The 27686-nt window shown below is 43.4% G+C and overlaps 1 protein-coding gene and 1 long non-coding RNA gene across 12 annotated transcripts; one reads left to right on the top strand and one right to left on the bottom strand.

Moving 5' to 3' along the window:
• Positions 1–87: 87 nt before the first annotated feature.
• Positions 88–12612, top strand: LOC105371747 (uncharacterized). The gene is made up of 3 exons (XR_934703.3): positions 88–346; positions 3341–3448; positions 12526–12612. It is a non-coding gene; the product is annotated as an uncharacterized LOC105371747 (long non-coding RNA).
• Positions 12613–25021: 12409 nt separating this feature from the next.
• CCL4L2 (C-C motif chemokine ligand 4 like 2) lies at positions 25022–26832 on the bottom strand. 11 transcript variants are annotated; one of them, NM_001291469.2, is made up of 3 exons: positions 26678–26832; positions 26005–26119; positions 25022–25602 (listed from the first exon to the last, which is right to left on the bottom strand). In NM_001291469.2, the coding sequence occupies exons 1-3, from the start codon at positions 26751–26753 to the stop codon at positions 25599–25601; spliced, it is 195 nt and encodes a 64-aa protein (NP_001278398.1). In that variant the 5' UTR covers positions 26754–26832; the 3' UTR covers positions 25022–25598. The 11 variants fall into 11 exon arrangements, 10 of the variants coding, with proteins under 10 accessions (NP_001278398.1, NP_001278404.1, NP_001278400.1 ...); NM_001291475.2 differs by having other exon boundaries at positions 25022–25592; NM_001291471.2 differs by having other exon boundaries at positions 25022–25582.
• Positions 26833–27686: the final 854 nt, after the last annotated feature.

Below are 27686 nucleotides of genomic sequence, written 5' to 3'. Positions count from 1 at the left end.
TTTATTATCTCATAGATCTGGAGACTAGAAGTTCTAGATCACGTTGTTAGAGTTGGTTTCTTCGACAACTGTGAGAAACCTTATGTTCCATGCCTCTCCCCTGGCTTCTGGTGGTTTGCTGGTCATCTTTGGCATACTTTGGCTTGTAGGTGCATCACCTGGATCTCTGCCTTCATGTTCACATGGTGTTCTACCTGTGTGCGTATCTGTGGCCAAATTTCCCCTTTTTATAAGGATACCAGGCATATTGGATTAGGGTTCCTCTCTACTCCAGTAGGACCTCATCTTCACTAATTACATCTGCAATAACCCTTTCCAAATAAGGTCACATTCTGAGGAACTAGAGGTTAGAGTTTCAACATACGAAATTTTCTGGGGGGTGAGTAAGGGACACGATTCAATCCATAACAATATGTTTATGAGTAAATGAGTTAGTGTGTTATTGTCTTTCTGCCACCTCAGAATCTGAGAAAACACAGTTTCTTTTTCCATTCCTTGGGCTGTAGGTGGAGAAGGAGGAGGATGATGATGGTGATTATTTTTTGGTCATGCCCCATAATGTGACCCACTTTAAAAAACAACAAACAATTGTAAGGAGGAGAACTGTCATACACCTACTGCCCAGCTTAAAAATAATTAGATCATCTTCTTTAAACATAACTGTCATCCCATCATCACACCTAAGAAGTTGACAGTTTCCCCAGTTTTTTTTTTTTCTCTTTTTTTTTTGAGATAGGGTCTTTCTCTGTTGCCCAGGCTGGAGTGCAGTGGCATGATAGTGGCTCATGGCAGCCTCAGCTTCCCAGGCTCAAGGGATCCTCCCATATAGCTGGGACCACAGGGGTGCATCACCACATCCAATTTTTTGAATTTTTCTAGAGATGAGGTCTCCCTGTGTTGCCCCACCTAATTTTTTTGTTGTTGTTGTTCCATTCTTTTTTTTCCTCCTGTTAATCAAGGTCTGTATGTAGTTTGGTTACTATGTCTCTTAGGTCTCTTTTCCTTTATAGATTCCCCTCGTGATTTACTGAAGAAACGGGGTCATTTGTCCTGTAGAATTCTCAAATTTTGATTTTGCTGATATTATCCCCAGAGTGTCATTGACCATGTTCATCTGTTCCCCAAATTTCCAAAAACTGGTAGTTAAATTTAGGTGGTTGATCTGATTCAGATTACACTCTCAGTATCGCATATGCTTTGATCAGGAGGCATAATGTGTACTTGTGTGTGCGTATGTGTGTTTTTTTAGTGATGTTAGTGGTCACTGCCTGTGTCAGCATTTCACTACCAGGGTAATTTGGCAATGTCTGGAGACACACTGTCACAGCTTGGGAGAGGGAATGCTATAGGTACCTTCAGGGGTAAGAGTCAGCACAGCACAGCCCCCTAACGCAAAGTATTAATAGGCCTAAAATGTCAGTAGCCCTGAGGTTGAGAAACTCTGGCCTACTTTTGTAGTTTCATCAGGTGTTTGTGAAATGGTTTTATTCTAACTGTTATTTCTTCTTTCTTTGTTAGCTGGAATTCTTTCATAAAGAGAAACTCTTTGATCAGTTAGTTACCCAAGGTACAGTTCATACAGAAAAGGCAGGATGTATGTTTGATTCTTTCCTAGTTTTCAAAATAATGAATTAGTTTCCTAGCATCTTCCAAAATTGACCAATGAACTTTGTGTGTGTGTTTTTTTCTTTTTTAGTATATTATGAACTTACACGTTTTAACATATTTGTGTTTCCTTTCATCGCAGTTATTTTTATTTTATTTTTATTTATTCATTTATTGTTTTCAGGCAGGGTCTTAACTCTGTCACCCAAGCTGTAGTGCAGTGGTATAATCGCTGCCCACTGCAGGCTTGACATCCCGACCTCCAGCAATCCTCCCACCTCACCCTCTTGAGTAGCTGGGACCACAGGTACACCACCATGCCCAGCTAATTTTTGTGTTTCTGGTAGAGACGGGGTTTTGCCGTGTTCACCAGGCTGGTCTTCAAATCCTGAGCTCAAAAGCAATCCACCTGCCTCTGCCTCCCAAAGTGTTGGGATGATAGGCGTGAGCCACCGCACCTAGCAGTTATTTTTATTGGTGCTCGTTTTTTCCCTTCGTTGAATGCTGGGTGCAGTGAATGCTGGGTGCATCTTCATGTTGGGTTCTGAGTCCTTTTGACATGAGCACATTGTCTGGTGTTGTACGAGAGAGCAAAATAAGGAAACTGGTGTTCTATGCTTATCTTGTACATTTTCCCCACACTTGGAATCAGCCATTCCTCCAGGGAGTGCAGGTTCACAGTCTGGGCTCTAAGAGAATTATAAGGTCAATGTGGTCATCATCTTTTAGTATTAAGTCAGATATTCTAAATTATTATTTACTTCTTACATTTGGCCCAAGAGTTTAACCAGATATTTTGGGAAAGAGAGAAGGAATTAAATAAATAAATCTCATGGTTAGAACTGAAGTGATAACTATACTTTCACAAGGAAATATAACTTATAACCCATGCGGAATAGAAAATTATTTTTGCTCCTTTAGATTTCTGAAGGAATGAAATGAGCTGTGAGAAGAAACTTTAACTGGAGCATCTTACCAGTATTATTCATGTTTTAACTCTGCTTCAGTAGTTTTTCAGGTTTATTACAAACCTGCAGTAGCCAACTGAATTAATTATCTCTAAACAGGGATTTAGCCAGTGGACTAGGCACACTGAAGCTTTGTGAGAGGGGAAATTGATATTCACATTTTTTCCAGCTTGTTTTGAGCTCGATATATTCTTTTCTTTTTTTTTTTTTAATTGAGACAGACTCTCGCACTGTCACCTGGGCTGGTGTGCAGTGGCACGATCTCTGCTTGCGGCAACCTCTGCCTCCCAGGTTCAAGCAATTCTCCTGCCTCAGCCTCCCGAGTAGCTAGGATTACAGGCGCCCGCCACCACGCCCGGCTGATGTTTTGTAGTTTTAGTAGAGACGGGGTTTCGCTTTATTGGCCAGGCTGGTCTTGAACTCCTGACCTCAGGATCTGCCTGCCTCAGCCTCCCAAAGTGCTGGGATTACAGGCCTGAGCCATCATGCCCAGTCAATATATTCACATTTTTAATAGGAATAACAGTATACTAAAATCTTTTTTAGTGCATGTTTAAGATTTGAAGATGTAATTTGACTCAGTACTTTCCACTTGCATTTTTTTCTTCCACTTGCATTTCTCCACTATTAGAAAAGTGCCTGCTAAGACTATTCTAATACTTTATTATAGTTAACCCCTGCGAAAAGAGCTCCCAGAGCTTACAGTGCATTTAATTGATGTCATATGGACTATTCATTATTTTCTAAATTATTTTGTTTGTATAAAGCAATCTGAAGAGGATGTAAGTCAGTTTGATTCCAAGTTTACACGTCAGACACCTGTCGACAGCCCAGATGACGCAACTCTCAGTGAAAGTGCCAATCAGGTCTTTTTGGTAAGTGAAAGAATTTCCATGTAGTCATGGGAAATTTTAAGTATGAGGATGGGCTCTTCGATAAGAAAATTCAGTTTGCTTGCTTTGCAGCTCATGTAGGTAACCTGGCCCACTTTTTTTTTTAAATAAGCCATGCTCTTATAACTTATTGATACCTATAAAATTGATTTTCATAATCCAACATTTTATTTTAGCAATTAGAGTGGGAATGTACAATTCTTTGGAGAGTATGATTCCCTTTTTTGGTTGGGCCACAGACTTAAAATGATGTTTGGCTTAGCATCTCAACCAAAAATTAAGTCATAGCAGTGGGAGAGAAAAACCTCACTAACTACATGTATTTTATTCCTGAAACAGCTATAGATTTTTGGTACCTTTTTTTTTTTTTTTTTTGAGACAGGGTCTCACCTTGTAGCCCAGGCTGGGTGTAGGGTGTAGTGGTGTGATCACAGTTCACTACAGCCTTGACCTCCCAGGCTCAAGTGATCCACCCATTTCAGCCTCGTGAGTACCTGGACTACAGGTGTGTGCCCCATCCAGCTAATTTTTTATTTTTTTGTAGAGACAGAGTCTCACTATTTTACTCCTGGACTCAAGCTATCTTCCCACCTCGGCTTCCCAAAGTGCCAAAATTATAGGCATGAGCCATCATTCCTGGCCCTATTTTTGGTACTCTTAACATAAGTAGGGGATTTTTTTTTTTTTTTGAGACTGAGTCTCACTCTGTCGTCAGGCTGGGGTGCAGTGGCGCGATCTCAGCTCACTGCAACCTCTGCCTCCTGGGTTCAAGTGATTGTCCTGCCTCAGCCTCCTGAGTAGCTGGGACTACAGGCGCCTGCCACCACGCCCAGTTAATTTTTGTATTTTTAGTAGAGACAGGGCTTCACCATGTTGGCCAGGATGGTCTTGGTTTCTTGACCTCATGATCCACCCGCCTTGGCCTCCCAAAGTGCTGGGATTACAGGCATGAGCCACTGCGCCCGGCCAAGTAGGGGATTTTTTAAACCTAATTGTGAATATTTGACATCAAATTATATTGGTTCATATGTAATAATGAATTCTCATTGTAGAAATATCCGTATAGATTTATAGCTTGTCTCCTCAGAAAAGTGAAGGTTTTAGATGTTGGCCAACAGAAATGATGGATTTATATCAGATGACCATCAATGCATACATACTATTTTGCTTAAATACCATATATGCTTGTTGATTTTATTACTGTACTTATATGTCACATGAACATCTTTCTCATTTTGTATCCTTTTTTTTCTTTTGTCGTTCCTGTATGGACTACCTCTAGGGAGAATAGAATATGGGGAAAACAATTGTTTGGGAGTGGTTTTTTCCCTCTTTTTGAGTTCACTGGATTTGTCACTAACTTAATTCTATGCTTTTCTTCCCCACACTGCTCACTATATAACACAAGTAGTGTTGTATCTTATGGGATGGGAAATAAGCTCTAAAGTTAGCATGGAGTTGGGACATCGTGGCTCACGCCTATAACCTTGAGGTCAGGAGTTCGAGACCAGCCTGGCCCACATGGTGAAACCCCATCTCTACCAAAAATACAAAAATTAGCCGGGTGTGGTGGCATGTACCTGTGGTACCAACTACTTGGGAGGCTGAGGCAGGAGAATGACTTGAACCCGAGAGGCAGAGGTTGCAGGAGCCAAGATCGTGCCACTGCACTCCAGCCTGGCCAATAGAGTGAGTGAGACTCTGTATAAAAAAAAATTAGTTAAAAAAATAAAGTTAGCATGGAATGCAAAAGTTGTGTATAGTACAGTATGGTTTCAAGTAAACAACACTGAATAGTAATAATCCTATAAATTAGTAATATAGAGCACGTAGGCAAAATATAATCTTACAGTATTAATTACATAAGAGATAAAAGATGAGTGAGTGCATGCATGTTTTTAAATTCAAGTTTGATGTGTGCATGATCAAAGTTACGGCATCTCTGTTAGTAAAATCTTAGGTTCACTCAGGGAAGTGGGCATGGATCACTTTAATTTTGGCTTTTTTTTTCTCTTTCATGTACTACTGATGTGGAATTTATACCTTTGATTTAACATAGAGACCTTTTCATCAATTGAACATTGCAGAATTTCAACTTATGTGACAGTTTCCCCCCACAAAATAGAAGCATTTTATTTAGCTACCAAGAAATCCTAAGTTGTGGTGGTAAATGTGAGATATTGACGCTTTCATTGCCAGTTAAAGTATTGTTGAGCTTTTCATAATTACTTAAATTGGCTATAACTGATGAACAGAGCAACTCATTTGTTAGGTTGTAGCCAGAATTCTGTACATAAAGTGGGTCTCTTGAAACATTAGTAAAAACAAAAATAGGCCAGGTACAGTGGCTCATGCCTGTAATCCCAGCACTTTGGGAGGCTGAAGTGGGTGGATCACAAGGTCAGGAGTTCTAGAACAGCCTGGCCAATATGGTGAAACCCCATCTCTACTAAAAATACAAATATTAGCCAAGTGCGGTGGCACACGCCTGTAATTCCATCTACTCGGGAGGCTGAGGCAGGAGAATCACTTGAAACCAGGAGGTGGCAGTTGCAGTGAGCCAAGATCGTGCCAGTGCATTCCAGCCTGGGCAACAGAGCAAGGCTCTATCTCAAAAAAAAAAAAAAATTCCGCATACATAAGAAGAGAATATGCATTAAAAAAATCAGCAGAGCCTCACATTCCAGGATTTTCTACACAAGAAACCATTCCTAAAATATGTGCTTGGAATTACTAGGGTTTCTCTTGCAAACATTTTAATAACACCTCATTCGTTTTTTTTATTATAATATTTATTTAAGCAAAATTTCTTTTTTTAATTTTATTATTTTATTATTATTACACTTTAAGTTGTAGGGTACATGTGCACAATGTGCAGGTTAGTTACATATGTATACATGTGCCATGCTGGTGTGCTGCACCCATTAACTCGTCATTTAGCATTAGGTATATCTCCTAATGCTATCCCTCCCCCCTCCCCACACCCCGCAACAGTCCCCAGAGTGTGATGTTCCCCTTCCTGTGTCCATGTGTTCTCATTGTTCAATTCCCACCTATGAGTGAGAACATGCGGTAACACCTCATTCTTTAGGGGTGTGGTTATATGTGTCATGTTATTAGATCTTTACAGCAACTCTCCTGGGTAAAGCGGTTATTACTAGGTCATTTTATAGAAGGAAAAATAACCAGTACTTTTTTTGCTTTACTTCAGTAGCTATTGCCTCCTTCAATTTGACATTTCAATCCTGGCACATAGTGGGGGCTCAACAAATATTTGTTGGAGGAATGCCATTTAAAATACAGTGATTGGATAGGAGAATATTTGAGGGCATTAACAGTTTTTAAAAGCCAAAAAAAAAATTACAACTGGACTTATGAGATTTTGATTTTTTTGTGTATTTTCTTTTAAAAAATAAGCTTCTCTAGGCTGGGCTTGGTGGCTCATGCCTGTAATCCCAGCACTTTGGGAGGCTGAGGCAGGTGGATCACCTGAGGTCAGGAGTTTGAGACCAGCCTGGCCAACATGGTGAAAACCCGTCTCTACTAAAAATACAAAAATTAGCTGGCCGTGGTGGCACACACCTGTAATCCCAGCTACTAGGGAGGCTGAGGCAGGAGAATCGCTTGAACCCGGGAGGCAGATGTTGCAGTGAGCCAAGATCACACCACTGTACTCCAGCCTGGGTGACAGAGCAAGACTCTGTCTCAAAAATAAATAAATAAAGTATATAAATAAATAAGCTTCTGTTTTGGCTTCCTCCAATGTAGTCTCTTTGAGTAGGAAGAAATTGTTATGATTCAAACTAGTACATTCTTTTTTTTTTTTTTTTTTTTTTTGAGATGGAGTCTTGCTCTTATTGCCCAGGCTGGAGTGCAGTGGCGTGATCTTGGCTCACTGCAGCCGGCTCACTTGAACCGGGTTCAAGTGATTCTCCTGCCTCAGCCTCCCAAGTAGGTGGGATTACAGGTGCCTGCCATCACGCCTGGCTAATTTTTGTAGTTTTAGTACAGATGGGGTTTCACCATCTTGGCCAGGCTGGTCTTGAACTCCTGGTCTTGATCTGCTGACCTATATCCGCCCGCCTCGGCCTCCCAAAGTGCTGGGATTACAGGTGTGAGCCATTGCACCCGGCCGACAGGTAAATTCTTATATCAAAAAACTGAGTTAGACTTGGTCCCTGGAGCTGTTTTCCATCCCTAAAAAGATGATGTCAAGCTATCATGTATAATAAATAACAACTCAATTGACCACATATTTTCCTTTAAGCCTAATGATGAAATAATATTATAATGAAATACTTAGAAGTTTTAAGGGAAAAAATCCTTTAAGTCATTAAATTAAAATTGAAACCAAAACAATAACTTCACTGTTTTAGGATAAAATTGGCATAAGAAAGGTTTGATAGTGAACGACAGTAAGATTAACCTACTACAGCATTTGCCTTTAGCTTTTACTGAGTAATACTTGGAGCTATATATTTATAGCATTTGCTATAAATGTGCAAATGAAGACATTATTTATTGTATTACTGCTGAGATTAATATTGTCTTTTTCAGATTTCTAAAACATTACAGCAAATGCGCACGAGGGCGCTCTAATCAGCTAGATATGGAGAGGGTAGGCATTTGTTGACTGTTAAGTCAAAACTAGTTCTATACTTTTACAGATGGAAAAATCAAGGTCCACCAAAGAGGTTATGATTCTACACGAGTTATTCTCTAGAGGAAACAAATTGGGTATTAGAATTTTGAAAAGATTAAACAGAAATCCCTGTCAGTGAATTTATGCTGGAGAATTTTGACTTTCATCCTAGCAACTCCTTATTGAAAATCTTTACCCATGCCATGATATAATTTATCTTCAATCTTAAATGGGTTTGGTAATAGTGTTTATAAGATGTAGGAGAGTTAATTAGAATATTTATTTTTATGAACTTTTGCTCTATAAAATTAAAAAATGTTAATTGTGCTTCATTTATACTTTTTTTTTTTTTTTCTTTGAGACGGAGTCTTACTCTGTCACCCAGGCTGGAGTGCAGTGGCGTGATCTCAGCTCACTGCAACCTCTGCCTCCCAGGTTCAAGCGATTCTCCTGCCTCAGCCTCCCAAGTAGCTGGGACCACAGGCACGTGCCACCACGCCTGGCTAATTTTGGTATTTTTAGTAGAGACGGGGTTTCACCATGTTGGCCAGGGTGGTCTCGAACTCCTGACCTCAAGTGATCTGCCCGCCTTGGCCTCCCAAAGTGCTAGGATTACAGGTGTGAGCCACCAACACCTGGCCCATTTATACTTAAGGCTGATTCTCAACTGATTTGGGTAAGATCCTTAGTCTTTCCCCATCTCTGACGTAATTCCTAGTTTGTCCTTTGGCTTTCCTGTGTATATAAAGCTACCAGGCTGCTTGCAGATTTTTCGGGGAATAAGTCCCATAAACACTCACAAAGATTTTATTAGGGAGAAGCTATGATGCGAATATAGAATGTAGATTTTTTAAATTTCAAAATCAGTATGGGCCGGGCGCGGTGGCTCACGCCTGTAATCCCAGCACCTTGGGAGGTCGAGGCGGGCGGATCACGAGGTCAGCAGAGCGAGACCATCCTGGTTAACACGGTGAAACCCCGTCTCTACTAAAAATACAAAAAATTAGTGGGCGCAGTGGCAGGCGCCTGTAGTCCCAGCTACTCGGGAGGCTGAGGCAGGAGAATGGCGTGAACGCGGGAGGCGGAGCTTGCAGTGAGCGGAGATCGCGCCACTGCACTCCAGCCTGGGCGACAGAGCGAAGACTCCATCTCAAAAAAAAAAAATCAGTATGTAGAGCTGGGCATGGTGGTGTGTGCCTATTAGCCCAGCCACTGGGGAGGCTGAGGCAGGAGAAGCCCTTGAGCCCAAGAGTTCAAGACTAGCCTGGGCAACACAGCGAGACCCTCATCTCGAAAAATAAATAAATAAATAAATAAAGTATTGCAATATTTATTATATAGGCAAATTTTTTTCAACTTAAGTGCTACCCTCATCAGGGGAAGATTTGTTTGATTAGATCCCCACACAGGCTGGCCGCTTCCTCATTTCTACTTTTTCTTTTCTTTTTGAGATGGAGTTTTGCTCTTGTTGCCCAGGCTGGAGTGCAATGGCGCAATCTTGGCTCACTGCAACCTCCGCCTCCCGGGTTCAAGCGATTCTCCTGCCTCAGCCTCCCGAGTAGCTGGGATTACAGGCACCTGCCACCACACCCGGCTAATGTTTGTATTTTTAGTAGAGATGGGGTTTCACCATGTTGGCCAGATTGGTCTCAAACTCTTCAGTTCAAGCGATCTACCTGCCTCGGCCTCACAAAGTGCTGGAATTACAGGTGTGAGCCACTGCGCCCGGCCTCATTTCTACGTTTTCAAAGAAGTCAATTTTCTTTAAAAAATAAACTCTTTTGGCCACGCGGCGGCTCATTCCTGTAACCCTAGCACTTTGAGACTCAGAGGCAGACGGATCGCTTGAACTCAGGAGTTCAAGACCAGCCTGGCCAACATGGTGAAACCCTGTCTCTACAAAAAATTAGCTGGATGCAGCGGCACGTGCCTGTAGTCCCAGCTACTCAGGAGGCTGAGGCAAGAGAGTCACTTGAGTCCAGGAGGCAGAAGTTGCAGTGAACTGAGTTCACGCCATTGCACTCCAGCCTGGCTGATGGGAGTGAAACCTTGTCTCAAATAAATAAATAAATAAACTCTTATTTAAAAAAAAAAAAAGCAAATCATGAAACAAAACAAAACCCAGGGCTCTGAATGAAAAAGATCTCTCCTTTAGGGGGCTAGGTGATGGAAAGGAAAATAGGTCATGAATTTCATGTTCTCATTTGTCTTCGTTAATGACTTGTATGTATATATATTTCCATTGAAGACATAGATATGCATTTGATCACCTACACTTGTTTGTATTTTGAGTCATAAATTAAGGCATTTCCTGTCCAGAAAGCACCTGACAATCTTATGATAAAAAACATGGAATTTTAAAATCACAAATGCAAATAACAAGCCAGGCACAGTGGCTCACGCCTGTAATCTTAGCTCTTTGGGAGACCAAGGTGGGTAGATTGTTTGAGCTCAAGAGTTTGAGACCAGCCTGGGTAACATGGAGAAACCCTGTCTTTACAAAAAATAAAAAATTAGTGGGGCACGGTGGCATGTGCCTGTAGTCCCAGATACTCAGGAGGCTAAGGTGGGAGGAGTGCTTGAGCCCAGGAGGTCGAGGCTGCTGTGAGCTGTGGTGGCAACACTGCACTCCAGCCTGGGTGACAGAGTGAGACCCTATCTCAAAAAAAAAAGGAGTGCAAATAACAGATGACCTTACAAACATCAAAAGTTATGTCTTTATAATAAGTTTTGTCTACATTCAATGAAATATGTTAGCAAGGAAAAAATGTAGCAGTATGCATATGGCTTTATTTTATCTTGGCCCTGCCCACTACTGTGCCCTCATTTCTTTTCCTTCCCACTGAGTCCTTCCACACTAGCCACACCACAGCAAACCTGACAAGCTTCTGCCTGAAATAGCACCATTGCACTTCTCTTCCCTTTGCCTGAAACATTCTTTTTTTTCTTTTTTCTTTCTTTTTTTTTTTTTTTTTTATGAGATGGAGCCTCACTCTCTCGCCAGACTGGAGTGCAGTGGCACGATCTCAGCTCACTGCAACTTCCACCTCCCTGGTTCAAGCGATTCTCCTGCCTCAGCCTCCCGAGTAGCTGGGATTACAGGTATGCACCACCATGCCCGGCTAATTTTGTATTTTTAGTAGAGACGGGGTTTCTCCATGTTGGTCAGGCTAGTCTCGAACTCCCGACCTCAGGTGATCCGCCCGCCTCGGCCTCTCAAAGTGCTGGGATTACAGGCGTGAGCCCCTGTGCCTGGCCACCACAATCAATTTTAGAATATTTTCATTTCTCTCAAAAAAAAATACCATACCTATGAGCAGTCACTCCCCATTTCCTCCATCCCTCAGTCCTAGGCAACCACTAATTTACTTTCTTTTAGGATAGGATTTGCCTATTTGGACATTTCATATAAATGGAACCATACAATTTGTGATCTTTTGTGACTGGCTTTTTTCAAGTAACCTAATGTTTTCAAGGTTCATTCATGTTATAGCATGTGTCAGTACTTATTTCCTTTTTTTTATGGCTCAATAATATTCTGTTGTAGGAATATAACACATTTCATTTATCTGTTTATCACTTTTTTTTTTTTTTTTTGAGATGGAGTCTCAGTCTGTCACTCAGGCTGGAGTACGGTGGTGTGATCTTGGCTCACTGCGGCCTCCGCCTCCTGGATTCAAGCCATTCACCTGCCTCAGCCTCCCAAGTAGCTGGGATTACAGGCACGTATACCATGTCCCGCTGATTTTTGTATTTTCAGTAGAGATCGGATTTCACTCTGTTGGCCAGGCTGGTCTCGAGCTCCTGAGCTCAAGCAATCCTCCCGCCTTGGCCTCCCAAAGTGTTGGGAGCCACCACACCCAGCTGTCTCTACTTTTTGACTATTATGAATAATGCTGCTATGAACATTCATGTATAAGTTTTTGTGTGGACATATGTTTTCCTTCCCCTTGGGAATATGATGAAGCCTGGCATTGCCAGGTCATATGATAACTCTATGTTTAAGCTTTGGAGGAACTGCCAGACTATTTCCAAAGCAGTTCCAACTTCATTGCAAAGCATTTTACATTCCCTCCAGCAACATATGAGTGTTTCAATTTTTCCACATTTTCTCCAACACTTGTTATTATGTGTCTGTTTATTATAGCCATTCTTGTGAGTGTGAAGTGGTATCTTAACATGGTTTGGATTTGCACTTCCCTGATGGCTAATGATGTTTCTATGGTTTGAATGTTGGAGTCCTCCAAAATTCATGTTATAACCTAAGACCTAATGTGACGATGTTAAGAAGTGAGGCCTTCAAGGTGGTGATTAGGTCATGAGGGCTCTGCCCTCGTGAATGAAATTAATCCCCTTATAAAAAGGCTTCACATAACATTTCTTCTTCTTTTTTCCTTTCTTCTCCTGCCATGTGAAGATGCCACTGCGAGAACGGGAACAATGGAACAGGCCCTCACCAAATGCCAAATGTGCTACCACCTTGATTTTGGATTTCCCAGCCTCCGGAACTGTGAGGAATAAATTTTTTTACTTATAAATTACTTAGTCTCAGGTATTTTGTTATAGCAGCACAAACAGACTAAGACAGAAATTGAGTGTATTTTCTTGTGCTTATTGGCCATTTATTTTCTTTCTTTTATTTTTATTTATTTATTTATTTTTAGGTGGGGTTTTGCTCTGTTGCCCAGGCTGGAGTGCAGTGGTGCAATCTTAGCTCATTGCAACCTCTGCCTCCCGGGTTCGAGTGATTCTTGTGCCTCATCTGCCTGAGTACCTGGGACTACAGGCATGCGCCACAACGCCTGGCTGATTTTTATATTTTTAGTAGAGATGGGTTTTCGCCATGTTGGCCAGACTGGTCTTGAACTCCTGGCCTCAAGTGATCCACCTGCCTTGGCCTCCCAAAGTGTTGGGATTATAGGCATAAGCCACCACCTGGCCCTTATTGGCCATTTGTATGTCTTCTTTGGAGAAATATCTGTTCAGATCTTTTGTCCATTTTAAAATTGGGTTATATCCTTTTTATTATCAAGTTGTAAGAGTTCTTTATGTATTCTAGATCCAAGTCCATTGTCAGATACTGTAGTCTCCCGTATGCTCTCTGCAGTTTCAGTTACCTGCGGGCAGCTGCAATCCCAAATATTACAGTATTTTGAGAGAGAGAAAACTATTCATGTAACTTATGTTAAAGTATATTCTAGCCGGGCACAGTGGCTCACACCTGTAATCCCAGCACTTTGGGAGGCCGAGGTGGGTGGATCACAAGGTCAGGAATTGGAGACCAGCCTGGCCAATATGGTGAAACCCTGCCTCTACTAAAGATACAAAAATTAGCCGGGCGTGGTGGCAGGTGCCTGTAGGCCCAGCTACTCGGGAGGCTGAGGCAGGAGAATCGCTTGAACCTGGGAGGTGGAAGTTGCAGTGAGCTGAGATGGCGCCATGGCACTCCAGCCTGGGTGACAGAGCAAGACTCCATCTCAAAAACAAAAAGTATATTCTAATTGTTCTCTTTTATTATTAGTTATTGTTGTTATTCTATTACAGTGCCTAATTTATAAATTAAACTTCATCATAGGTATGTATGTATGTATAGGAAAAAAACATAGTACATATAGAGTTTGGTACTATCTGCAGTTTCAGGTATACACTGGAGGTCTTGGAACATATTTTGTTACATATATATCTATATATTTATAAATATATATTTATATATAGCTATATATTTATGTATCTATATATCTATAAATATATGTTTATATATCTATATTAATCTATATCTATATATGAATATATAGGTAGATAAATAAATATATACATATATATATATTTTTTTTTTGAGATAAGGTCTCGGTCTATCGCCCAGGCTGGGATACATTAATGTTATCTTGGCTCACTGCAGCCTCAACCTCCTGGGCTCACGTGATTCTCCCACCTCAACCTCCCAAGTAGCTGGGACCACAGGCACATGTCACCACATCTGGGTAATTTTATTTATTTATTGTAGAGATAGGGTATCCCTATGTTGCCCCGGTTAGTCTTGAGCTCCTGGGCTCAAGTGATCCTCCCACCTCAGCTTTCCAAAGTTCTGGGATTACAGGCATGAGCCACTGCGTCTGGCTACATATTTTCCACAAATAAAGTGAGCCTACTTTGTATATAATTTGCAAGTATTTTCTCCCATTCTGTGGGTTGTCTTTCACTTTTTTTTTCTGGAGTCCTCCAAAATTCATGTTATAACCTAAGACCTAATGTGATGATGTTAAGAAGTGAGGCTTTCAAGGTGGTGATTAGGTCATGAGTGCTCTGCCCTCGTGAATGAAATTAATGTGCTTATAAAAAGGCTTCACATAGCATTTCTTCTCCTTTTTTTGCCTCAGCCTCCTGAGTAGCTGGGATTACAGACGTGTACTACCATGCATGGCTAACTTTTGTATTTTTAGTAGAGACAGGGTTTCACCATGTTGGCCAGGCTGGTCTCAAACTCCTAACCTCAGGTGATCAGCCCGCCTCGGTCTCACAAAGTGCGGGGATTGCGGGCGTGAGCCACCATGCCCGGCACATGCATCAGTTTTTAATGCTTCCTTGGTTGGACTGATTAACCAGTCAACTACTGGTTCCAGTAAGGTTGGATGAGGTGGCGTATACTCTACTTATTTGCCGCCCCCGCTTCTTCCTTTTTTTTCAGACAGGGCCTTTGACGCGCTGGCTGGAGTGCCGTGGTGTGATCTTGGCTCACTGCAGCCTCAACTTCCTGGGCTCAAGCAGTCTTCCCACCTCAGCCTCTAAGTAGCTGGAACTACAGATGTGTGCCCCTATGCCTGGCTAATTTTTGTATTTTTGTCGAGACGGGGTCTCCCCATGTTGCCCAGGCTGGTCTCCAACTCCTGGGCTCAAGAGATCCGCCCACCTTGGCCTCCCAAAGCCCTGGGATTGCAGACATGAGCCACTCTGCCTGGCAACTTGTAACAGTTCTTTGTATGTTCTTGATACAAGTCAGTTGTCAGATACAGCGGTAGTACATAATTAAACATAATTATATAGAACTATATTTTATATAAGCGCAGCATTATATGAAATAGCAAAAATTTGGAAATAACCAAATGTCCAACAATAGGTAGTTAGCTAAGTAAATTGTGAAACATCCATGTAATGAAAGCTATACAACTATAAAAAATGATCTAGATCTATTTATACTGACATCGACAGATGTCTAACATAAATTACATGAAAATAGGAAGTGACAGAGAAGAGAGTATGGTATAATCTCATTTACATTAAAGTAATCAAATTGATTCTTGGACTCTTGATTCTTGGACCTGTGAATCCTGGCTATAGGAGAAACAGTACCATATATTGGATGCTGATTCAGAGCATACATGGCCTTCTGGAGAACTTTGCCCCAGCCCTGCAAAGTATTGTCATAGTGACTCCAAAAGGCCATTCCACCATTCTATCAATCCAGCTGCTTCAGGATGATGGAGAACATGGTAAGACCAGTGAATTCCATGAGTATGAGCCCACTGCCACACTTCTTTAGCTGTAAAGTGAGTGCCTTGGTCAGAGGCAATGCTGTGTGGAATTCCATGCTGGTGGATAAGGCAATTTCATGAGTCCACAAATGGTAGTCTTGACAGAAGCATTGCATACAGGATAGGTAAACCCATATCAGGAGTAAGTGTCTATTCCAGTGAGGACAAACCTCTGCCCTTTCCATGATGGAAGAGGTCCAATATAATCAACCTGCCACCAGGTGGCTGGCTGATCACCCCGAGGAATAGTGTCATATTGAGGGCTCAATATTGGTCTCTTCTGTTGGCAAATTGGACACTCAGCAGTGGCCATAGCCAGGTCAGTCTTGGTGAGTGGAAGTCTATCTTGCTGAACCCATGTGTAGCCTCCATCCCTGCCACCATGGCCACTTTGTTCATGGGCCCATTGGGCGGTGACAGGGGTGGCTGGGGAAAGAGGCTGAGTAATGTCCACATTACGGCTCATCCTCTCCACTTGATTGTTAAACTCCCCCTCCACTGAGGTCACTCGAGCACTCACATGAGATACAAATATCTTCACAGTTTTTGACCATTCAGAGAGGTCCATGTACATACTTCTTCCCCAAATTTCTTTGTCACCAATTTTCCAATCATGCTTCTTCCAAGTCCCTGACCATCCAGCCAAGCCATTGGCTACAGCCCAGGAATCAGTGTATAATTGCACATTTGTCCATTTCTCCTTTCATGCAAAGTGCACAACCAGGTGCACTTTTCAAAATTCTGCCCACTGGGAACATTTCCCTTCACCGCTATACTTCAGGGATGTCCTAGAAAGAGGGTGTAGTGCTGCAGCTGTCCACTTTTGGGTGGTGCCTGTGTATTATGCAGAACCGTCTGTGAACCTGGCCCTAGTCTTCTGTTACTCTGTCAACTGATCATAGGGAACTCCCCATGAGGCCATCAGTGCAGGCTGGGGGAGAGAAGGCAGGTGGCAGGAGTGAAGACCCTGGGCATTTGAGCCATGTCCTCATGTAACTTACTTGGCCTTCAGGACCTGCTTGAGCCTGATCACATATATACCACTTCCACTTGATGATGGAATGCTGCTGTGCATGACCCACTTTATGGCTAGATAAGTCAGAAAACACCCAGTTCATGACAGGCAGTTCAGGTCACATGGTGACTTGATGACCCATAGTCAAACGTTCAGTTTCCACCAAAGCCCAGTAACAGGCTAAGAGCTGTCTCTCAAAAGGAGAGTAGTTATCTGAACTAGATGGCAGGGCCTTGCTCCAAAATCCTAGATGCCTCTGCTGTGATTCACCTATGGGAGCCTGCCAAAGGCTCCAAACAGCATCCCTATTTGCCACTGACACTTCAGGCACCACTGGACCTGCTGTGTCTTATGGTCCAAGTGGCAGAGCAGCTTGCACAGCAGCCTGGACCTATTGCAGAGCCTTCCCCTGTTCTGGACCCCACTCAGAACTGGCAGCCTTTCAGGTCACTAGATAAATGGGCCAGAGTAACACACCCAAATGAGGAATGTGTTGTCTCCAAAATCCAAATAGGCGCACTAGGCATTGTACCTCTTTCTTGGTTGTAGGAGGGGCCAAATGCAGCAAGTTATCCTTTGCTTTAGAAAGAATATCTCGGCAGGGCCCATACCACTGAATCCCTAGAAATTTTACTGAGGTAGAAGTTCCCTGAATTTTAGTCAGATTTATTTCCCATCCTCTGGCATGCAAATGTCTCACCAATAAGTCCAGTGTGTTTGCTACTTTTTGCTCACTGGATCCAATCATCATAATGTCATTGTAATGGACCAGTGTGATATCTTTCAGAAGCAAAAAGTGATCAAGGTCTCTCTGAATAAGATTATGACGCAAAGCTGGAGAGTTGATATACCCGTGAGGTAGGACAGTAAAGGTATATTGCTGACCTTGCCAGCTGAAGGCAAATTGCTTCTGGTGGGCCTTATGGACAGGAATGGAGAAAAAGGCATTTGCTAAGTCAATACCTGCATACCAGGTACCAGGAGACATGTTAATTTGCTCAAGCAATGAAATCACATCTGGTTTCATTGGAAACCAGCTGCAATTGGAGTCACAACTTGGTTAAGCTTATGATAATCCACTGTCATTCTCCAAGGTCCATCTGTCATCCACACAGGCCAAATGGGAGGCTTGAATGGAGAGGTGTTGGCAATCACCATCCCTGCATCCTTCAAGTCTTGATGGTGACACTAATTGCAGTCCCTCCAGGGATGTGATATTGTTTTTGATTTACTATTTTTCTAGGTAGAGGCAGCTCTAATGGCTTCCATTTGGCCTTTCCCACCATAATAGCTCTCACCCTACCAGTCAGGGAGCCAATGTAGGGGTTCTGCCAGCTGTTGAATATATCTATGCCAATTACACATTCTGTCATTGGGGAAATGACCACAGGATGAATCCAGGGACCCACTGGGCCCACTGTAAGTTGGACCTGAGCTAAAACTCCATTAATTACCTGACCTCCATAAGCCCCTAATTTAACTGGAGGAACACAGTGACATTTTGTGTCCCCTGGAATCAACGCCAAATCAGAGCCAGTGTCCAGAAGTCCCCAAAATATATGATCATTTCTCCTTCCCCAGTGCACAGTTACCCTGGTAAAAGGCTGGAGGTCTCCTTGGGGAAGGGTGGGAGAAAGATTCACTGCATAAATTGTCAGTAATGTAGTGGGGTCCTTCCTCAAGGGGACCCGGCCTCCGCTTCATTCAAGGGTTTTTGGGTCTCTAAACTGGCTCAATCCTGGAAATTGATTGAGGGGCCGTGATTCTCTGTTTTTATGATTCAAATTAGTCGTTTGTCCATTTGACCTGGAAGTTCTTTGTTTGTATAATTTAAGTAGGAATGCAGTAGGCTTCCTATCAATTTCACTTCTAGGAACACCATGATTAATTAGCCAATGCCAGAGCTCTACACGAGTCAGACTATTCTGATTGCCACTTTGCCTCTGCTGTCCATTACAGTAGTTATGCCCACCTTGCCTTTCATGGTTGAGTGCTGCCACTTAGCCCCTGCTACCTTGGGATCCAATTATTCCCATTGTATTTAAATTTTGTAGTTGAGTGACTGCAGTTCCCACCGTTAGATCTGACATACAGAGAAGAGCAATCACAGGGCTCTTCAAAGATGCTGGTGCCATGCTTGCAAATCTGTTTCGCAAGCTATTGTTCAAGGGTATATCTTCGGGACCCTCCCCACTGGGATAAGTAGGTCTAAAATGACTAATCCACTCCACCATCCCAATCTCCCTAAGCCTTCGGATCCCTTCCTCTACATTAAACCAAGAGAGATCAGGCATTTCCAGCTTGCTCACAGTGGGCCATCTTTTAATCCATATTTCAGCTATCCAAGCAAATAAACTATTAGAATCTTTTGTAACTCCCCAAGCTGCAACATTAAATGCAGAATCCCTACTTAGGGGCTCAAATCAATAAATTCAGCCTGATCCAACTCTATGTTCCTTCCACCATTATTCCATACCCTTAATATCAATTCCCATGCATGTTCTCCAGATTGCTGTTTTTATAAATTAGAGAACTCAAACAGTTCTTTTGAAGTGCCGTGCACCTCCTCATGGATCACACTCTCAACCTCACCTCCAGGGGCCCACTGGGACTTTAGTCTATTTACAGGTCTAGACTGTCATCAATGTAATGGACCAGACTTTAGTCTAGTTACAGGTCTAGACTGTCATCAATGTAGTGGACCACGAAACAGGGGTGTTGGGGTGGCTCCTGAGGAGAATCAACATTATTTTGCCTGGCAACTGCCTCAGAGGAGGCCATCACTGTTGCCTCAGGCAGCACAGGGTTTATCTCCTCAGACAAAGGTGGAAAGGCTGATGGCACCACGGGTCGGGAGTGGATGTTGCTACTACTGGGGATGGGGAAGCTGTTCCTTCTGGCAAAAAAGGTTCATCAGAGTTTACAAACTCAGTGTCCCCAGCTTCATCTGAGTGCTCCCACATTTCCCCATTCCAAGTTGCAGGGTCCTATTCTTTTCCAATCAATGCCCTCACTTTAACAGTAGACACCTAGTGAGTCTGTACATGCACCTTTTGTTGCAGGTCAGCCACTTGCATGATAAGAATTTGTGTTTGTTTTTTCACAATTTCAGCTCTTTCTCTACAGAAGATAAGGGTCTCACTCAGGGCAATCTTAGCAGATTTGAGGCTCAGTATCTGCTTCTGAAGCCAGGAGACATAATCCCTGAGCTCATCGTTTTCTTTCATCACTTTGTCTATTGAACTCAGGAGCAACCAACCAGCTTCATTATGTTCCTTGGTTCTCCACATATGGTCAAAGGTATTATGTATAGAGTCACTAAACTCCTTGCCTCTCATGAGCAGTGAATCAGGAGTGCCAAATGCATTTACTTTGCTTAACTCTCTAAACAGTTCACACCAAGGACTATCAGTGTTCTCCATACTATTAGACGTAGAGTCCTTAGCATTTTGGGGTCTAACCATATTAAGCAGCCAACTCTAGAAAACCCAAAACCAATGAAAGAACTCCACTCTTAATATTCCATTTCTCTAGAACCACTCCTGGTACCAAAATCTGGATTAGTCAGGGTCCTCTTAGAGGGACAGAACTAATAGGATATATATAGATAGATAGATAGATAGATAGATAGATAGATAGATAGATAGATATAGATATATATATACACACATATTAGGATATATATAAATATATAATATATACAAATAAATCATATATGTGTAAGTTAACATTTAATATGTATATATTATATAACACATATTATATATATAACACATATATATACATATATATAAGTGTAAGTTAACACTTAATAAATCCCATATATATATGGGATTTATTAAGTGTTAACTTACAAGATCACAAGGAAACAACCAGCAGAGGAGAAAGATGTAGGCTGGGAGGCTAGGCCCTCTCTCCTTTTCCAAGTCCCTAGCAGAAAGACAAGAGGACCCCCTAAGCAAATGAATCAGGAGTCACTGTAAATAACAAATGTCTCCTTGAGGAGCCCAGGGACATAGGGTCCTGAGATTTAGAAGCAGCTAACACTGCCTGAAGAAATTATTTCCCTGCAGCTGTGCTGGTCTCCCAGTTGGGAATGTTTCCATAGAAGGGGAGAGTCTCCCAGACCATCCTCCATCAAGTCCCATCAAGCCCATCTTCCCTGAAAAAAATTAATTTTGATTTTCTCATTCCTTCTGAATATATATATTTTACACACTTATCATGTAGAGCCATCCCTTGGTATCCACAGGGGATTGGTTCTAGGAATTCTCATGGCTTCCAAAATCTACACATGCTCTAGTCTCTGATGTAGCATAGTATTTGCCCATAACCTATGAACATCCTCCCATATACTTTAATCTCTAGATTACTTAGAATACCTAAACAATGTAAATGCTATTCATAAATGTAAATGTAGATCATTGTTATACTGCATTGTTTTTTATTTGTTTTTCTTTTTTCTTTTTTAGTTTTTGAGACAGCATATTGCTCTAGCGCCCAGGCTGGAGTGCAGTCATGTCATCTCAGCTGTTTGTAACTTCCGCCTCCTGGGCTCAAGCGATCCTCTTGCCTCAGCCTCCCAAGTAGCTGGGACTACAAGCATGTGCCACCTCACCCAGCTAATTTTGGTACTTTTGTAGAGAAGGGGTCTTGTTATGTTGCCCAAGCTGGTCTAGAATGCCTAAGCTCAAATATTCCTCCCACCTTAGCCTCCCAAAGTGCTGGGATTACAGGTGTGAGCCACTAAACCTGGCCTATTGTGTTTTTTTCTTCCCCAAATATTTTCCATCCATCATCGGTTGAATCCACAGATTTGGATCCCACATATTCAAAATGTCGACTGTATCTAAAAATGAAACTATTTAAAAGGTAGAAAAATGCAGCCACAATTTTGTCTCTCAATTCTTTTCTTCTATTTTCCTGTATGCTAGACTCAGTTGGGAACCCAAGACAGAAGGAGTTTAGAAGGGAGAACAGGTAGAGATAAGTGGGAAAGAGAGGGTTTTAAGGCCCTCAAATCTGTAAAGGGTGAATGCAGACTGCAGTACAGGACTGCCAGCTGGTCTCTGGTCTCAGCCTCCAGGAAGAACTGTGGCTATGTCACCATCCTCAGCTCATCTTGCTCCTTTGATCCCTGCCTCTGCTTGCTCGGCTCCTGGCCTCCTTGGAGGAAAATGCCTGTATCAATGGGAGCATGATGGAGGGTTCCAGGTTGAGGTGGGATGGGGGATAAAGACATGTTTGCATGAACATGTCCTAAAGGAACATGTACATAAGGAAATGGACTCCCATCTGGAGAGTGAGCTGGGGGAGGTGGGCACTGCAAGGAGTAGGAAAATAGGCCGGATGCCTAGAAGTTGCTCCATAATCCATAGTTCCTTTCGAGTGTCCTGCTTTGTCTGTTCTGGCTTTTGCCCCCACCCGGAAACCTGGAGAAACCTCAACTGGAACGTCAAGTAAGCAGATTCCAGCTCTCTGGGCCCAGGGTGAGAAAAGGAAGTTGTATGAAAAGAGGAGAAAGGAAAAAAACAGTCTCATATTGTGCAACAGGTGAAGTCCCACATTGCCCCTTCGAGGATTCCATTCTGCTGTTTGTAATTCCTGGTAAGCATTTCTTCATGAGGCTGCCCTGGCCTCCTGCAGCCTTCCCTGGTGGCCTTGCCTCTGTGGAGCTGAGCTCCTCCCTTTCCATTAGCTGAGGGGCAGGGAGGATTGGGAAAGGGACTCCATCATGAGGGAGGATACCGGGACTCTGGCCCTAACCCTGCCTGCTCACTAACAATGAACCAGAGACAGGTCATGGTTCTGCTCTGGGCTGCATCTGACAGATGAGAGGATGGACTCTTTCCCAGATAGGAATCCAGGACCCCTCAGAGCACCCTAGATGTCTCAAGAAGAGGCATGCTTCCTAAGGGTCTTGGACCCTGGATCAAGCCTCAGCCCCAGAACTCAGTTGCTGAAGCAGATCTCCTCTTGGAATGCCTCTCCTCATTATAGTTCATCTCCTTGAGGTGTGTCCCTCTCACCCTGGGTTCCTCCTGCAGGGAGATTTGGCTCACCCTCTAGAATGCTCCCTTTCCTGCCACACTGAGCTATTGGGGGTCACTATCAGTGACACATCAGTTGGTGGTTGTATTTGTTTCCTATTGCTGCTGCAAAAAATTACCACACACTTAGTGTCTTATGACCACATATTTATTCTCTAAAAGTTCTGGAGGTGAGAAGTCTGAAATTAGATTCACTGGGACACTCCCTTTGGAGGCTCTAGGGGAGGAACAATTTCCTTGCCATTTGCAGCTTCTAGAGCTGCATCCTAAAACCTCTTCACTCCTGGCCTCTTCTTCCATCTTCCAAGCTGGTAGCATAGCATCTTGCTTCTGCTGTCACATTGCTACCTTCTCCTCTATTACCAAATTTTTCTCTTCCTTCCTCTGGTAAGGACACTCACAACTACATTTAGGGCCTGACCAGATAATTCAAGGTAATCACTCCATCTCAAGATCCATAACTTGATCATATCTCCAAAGTCCCTTTTGCCATACAAATTGACATTCACAGGTTCTGGGGAATAGGATGTGGATGTCTTGGGGGCCATTATTCAGCTACCATAGTGATCTATACCTTGTCTCTGGCTTGGGGTCATCCATTCTCTCTCCCATCCCGTCCCCTCAGAATAGAATTGTGTATCTTTCTCCAAATCTGCACCCTAATCTTACAGACCATCCCAACTGCTCCTCCCTTCACTCTCTTTAGGCTCTGAGAACATTCTAGGAGACTGCTCTCCAACAGAACTTTCTGCAATGATGGACAGAAAGTCCATAATGCATGCTGTCTAACCTGGTAACTAGCCATGTTACCAAGGTCTACTGAGCACTTGAAATGTGACTAGTGTGACTCAGGAACTAAATTTTAAATTTTATTTCATTTTAATTAAATGTAATGAAAATGTAAATAGCCGCTTTGGCCAGTGGCTAACATATTAGATAGCTCGGATCTAGGCAAATGAAAGCAGAAACTATGGCCAGGCACATTCTTTGCTGCTAGCCTCTTCCCACACCTGTTTTGGATCAGCTCTGCCCCCTAACCTCCTTCTCTCAGTGCCCGCAGAATCTGAAGTAAGTTTCCACTGGGGCTCTGGAATGACAGAGGTGACTAAGGGCAGGACAAAGAAAGGAATTGTGTCTGTTGACCCCAGAGAAGTACAGGGCCCCAGTTCTGCTTTTGCACAGGACTAACAACACTCAAATGATTTTCAAGGTAGTCTCTGCCTTGTCCTTACTCAACCGGTCTCCCTTTTGAGGACCACAGAGGTGTGTCACTAGGGAATGTGTGCAGGAAAGGGCCTGAGCTTGGGAGCTGGCACTGGCCAGGCTCCTGCTCTGCTATGTACTCGTTGAGTGGCACGTGGCAAGTTACTTCCCAGGCCTTCTCCCTCAGTTTCCATAAAATGAGAGGGTTGGACCAGATGGTCTAAAGTTTCCTTTTAGCTTTAGTAGACCATGAGTCTATGTCCTGTGGATCAGGCTTTATTGTGCATGTAATTCAATTTCAGAGCCATGTAGTCTCTGACCCATGGAATGGGAGTACTGATTGAAGGATAATTAAGTAGAAGTGGCTTTAGGTTACTCCTGCAACACTTCCAAACAAAACCAGACCTCCATCCTTCTGTCATCATGACAACACTTCACAGTAACTTGGGCTTTAGAGTGCTGATCTGTCAACTAACTAATCTAATCCTCATGATGATCCTGACAATTGTTAGGTCCATTTTAAGTGAAAAGGCTGAGGCTCAGAGGGGGAAGGAGAGAATCTTCCAGGTGCCCAGTCCCATGATGGGTGCTTTACACATCACCTCGTAACAGCCCTTCGAAGGGGTTAATATTATCTACATTTCACACTTGTGAACACTGAGGTCTAATAAAGCAAGATGACTTTCCCAATGTTATGCTGATAATAATATGATGAAGTCACTTTTCTCACTCTTCTTCCGCCTTTGCTGTGCTGCTTCCCCTCTTTACAACTCCCCCCACAAGATGTTGAAATGATAACCTCCTTTTTAAAGGCATTTTTTCATGACACTCCCCAAGCAGACCTACTAGCCTCAGCAAGTCACTTCACCTCTCTGTGCCTCTCTTTCCTTAACTGTGAAACTGGGGGCAACAGTCCCTACTTCATAAGGGTGTTAAAACCCTTGTTGAAAGTACGCAGTGAGATCATGTATTAAGAGTGTTCAGCCCAGAGCTCATATTAAGGACTCAGCAATTGCGCATTCTTACTGCTTTTGGAAACTGTAGCTTGCCCCACCGCCCAATGGTACCAGGCAATTCCTTTTACCCCCAAATCAAATTAAAATCACAAAGAAACTGTTTGCATTTTATTTTAAAGTTTTATTATGAAAACACATGGAATTAACGGTGTTATCCATGTATTTGCAACAGCAGAGAAAGAGTGAGAGTGGACCATCCCCATAGGGGACACTTATCCTTTGGCTAAACTAATATAAATAATGGAAATAACACCTAATACAATAATACAGCACATAAAAGAGATTACATTAAGAGAAGAGACAGGAACTGCGGAGAGGAGTCCTGAGTATGGAGGAGATGCGGCTCATGGAGAAGCATCCAGGCTCAGGTGACCTTCCCTGAAGACTTCCTGTCTCTGAGCAGCTCAGTTCAGTTCCAGGTCATACACGTACTCCTGGACCCAGGACTCACTGGGGTCAGCGCAGACTTGCTTGCCTCTTTTGGTTTGGAATCCGTAGAACAAGGAGCAGACAGATTAGAATCCCATGGGACCTTTGAGGTCATCTGGCTTTATCCCTTGCCTGTGGTAGGCATCTTCCTCTGCCTGACCATGGTCCATGTGGGGCAGCTCTGGTGGATGGGATCCTTCCCGGAGCAGCACTGGAAGCAGACTCCCTGTAACTTCCACTCACTGGATTTAGCTGTGGGCCCCAGGGGTTGCCCAGATTAGGAACCAGTGGGCATTGCAATCAGTATGAATAGATTGCCCCATTCCCTGCCAGCCTGGTAGTGACTTTTCCACATGTTTTTCTAGCATGGTTTAAGGAATTGGTCCATATCTCACGGGACCTGTCTGCCTTCCCCTGCTTCCCTGTCCTCTGAATAACTTCCTCCCCAGGAACCCCCTTCTGTCTCGGCTGCCACTCAGCCGCCTTCAGCACTTGAAAAGTGAGTTCATGACCTGTGACCTCACTGCTGTCAGGGAAGGCTTCAGCCCTGAGAGCTGCCTCCCCAACGCTCATCACCCCCTCCCCAAAACAGGCCCCCTTTAAAAATCCAGCCCTCACCCTTGCCTCCCAGGGCAGCCAGGGGTTGATACTCACACCACAGCTGGCTGGGAGCAGAGGCTGCTGGTCTCATAGTAATCTACCACAAAGTTGCGAGGAAGCTTCCTCGCGGTGTAAGAAAAGCAGCAGGCGGTGGGAGGGTCTGAGCCCACTGAAAGGAAAGGCCAGGGTGAGATCAACACTGCCCATGGGAGCTGTTTATTTTGACTTCTAATTTTGCATCTTCATTGAGCATCCCTGTGGAGCTACCAGAACCCCAAATATGGTCCCTTGTATCCATTCCCACCTAACATGAGCAGGAGTCTTATTCTGAATAGTGGATCTTCAGAGAAGAACGAGAAAGAAATCTAGAAGATTGGAACTGGATTCAGTCTCAGAACACATCGCACTCCCTTCATATGACAGATGGGGAAACCAAGGCACAGAGAGGGACAGGGGCTTGCTTGAACAAATAATTAAAGGCAGAGCCAATTCAACAGTCTGACTTCCAGCCCATCGTTTTCCTCTGCTGGTTGCTAATTCTTAAGAAAATAGGAACTTGAATGTTACTGAATATCTACTAGACTCTACATTTAGCAGCAGACTACATGGCAATCTTCCTAGCTGCCTTTTGTCCCATCCCCAGATCCCACTGTTTGCCAGCCATGACTAGAAAAAAGGACTCTGCCTACACCTTGACTCGAAATAGCAGCTGCAAAAGTAGACTTACTTGGTGCTGAGAGTGCTAGAGAGCAGAAGGCAGCTACTAGCACGAGGAGAGACAGGACAGTCACGCAGAGCTTCATGGTATTGGTGGCAAAGAGGTTTTCTCAGAGGTGAGGCTGCAGAACTCAGAAGCTTCAGAACCTAGCTGTGTCCTGTGCTGATACTGAGTTGGGAATCTCTCTTTATAGGGACTCTGAGGCCTAGGACAAATGTGGGGGCACAGGAGAGTGAGTGGAATTTCCATGGTAGAGATGATGTCATGGCTCCTGAAGCTAGCTGAGTGAGGAGTTCCTCTCAGCTTCTCTTCCCCAGGGCGATGTCATCATAGAGGAAAGATGAGGGAGGTGCAGGCGAGAAGAAAAGGGAAGTGGTACAGCCAAAAGCAGTGACCGAGACTGGGGAGAGAGTTGCAAACCCCAGAGGAAAAGATGAAATGTTCACACCTGCTACAAGTGGCTTGTAGACAAGAACTGTGCTGCTCTTGGTGGTTGGCACCCCCAGATGCTGGAGGGTTCATGCCAGTCTTTCCAGGCTGGCCACAGTCCTGGCCCCAAGAACAAAGCGGGAACCAGGACTCCCCCATCCCCTTCCTGTGCCTTCTTCTGCTGAGCTCAGTGCCACTGACTTTTGTGCCCTATATGTTTCCTTGGGCATGAAGAGTCCAGCATTGGATGTGCGGAGGGACCCAGTAGGGTGGCTCAGGAACATTTGTAAGTTCTTATTGGACACTTACCTTGTACCAGGCACTGGGAAAGCTGTGTTACACATATTATATATAATCCTACCATAATCTTGAGCAGGGGTGTCTAATCTCATTTTACAGATAAGGCAATTGGGGATCAGAGAGTGGTCCACTGATGGCGCTCAATGCCACAGAGCTGATGAATGGCACTGCCAAGATTTGAATCAAGATTCGAATCAAGATTCATCTGACTCCAAAGTCCATTTTCTTTCCATGCTGTAGTCTCCAGAATAAACATAGAGTGTGACCACAAAGAGAAACCATTGACTGA

This window comes from Homo sapiens, chromosome 17 (genome assembly GCF_000001405.40).
Source record: "Homo sapiens chromosome 17, GRCh38.p14 Primary Assembly".
Taxonomy (NCBI): domain Eukaryota; kingdom Metazoa; phylum Chordata; class Mammalia; order Primates; family Hominidae; genus Homo; species Homo sapiens.
This window is presented reverse-complemented; position numbering and strand designations above follow the sequence as displayed.

Bases quoted from the DNA above. Each gene is read 5' to 3' on its own strand.
- CCL4L2 (NM_001291475.2), bottom strand. From the start codon at position 26,753: ATGAAGCTCTGCGTGACTGTCCTGTCTCTCCTCGTGCTAGTAGCTGCC. The intron at 26,120-26,677 runs GTAAGTCTACTT...CTTTCCTTTCAG, and splicing joins TCTAGCACTCTCAGCACCAA to TGGGCTCAGACCCTCCCACC. The intron at 25,593-26,004 runs GTGAGTATCAAC...AGCTAAATCCAG, and splicing joins TGCTCCCAGCCAGCTGTGGT to TGAGTGGAAGTTACAGGGAG.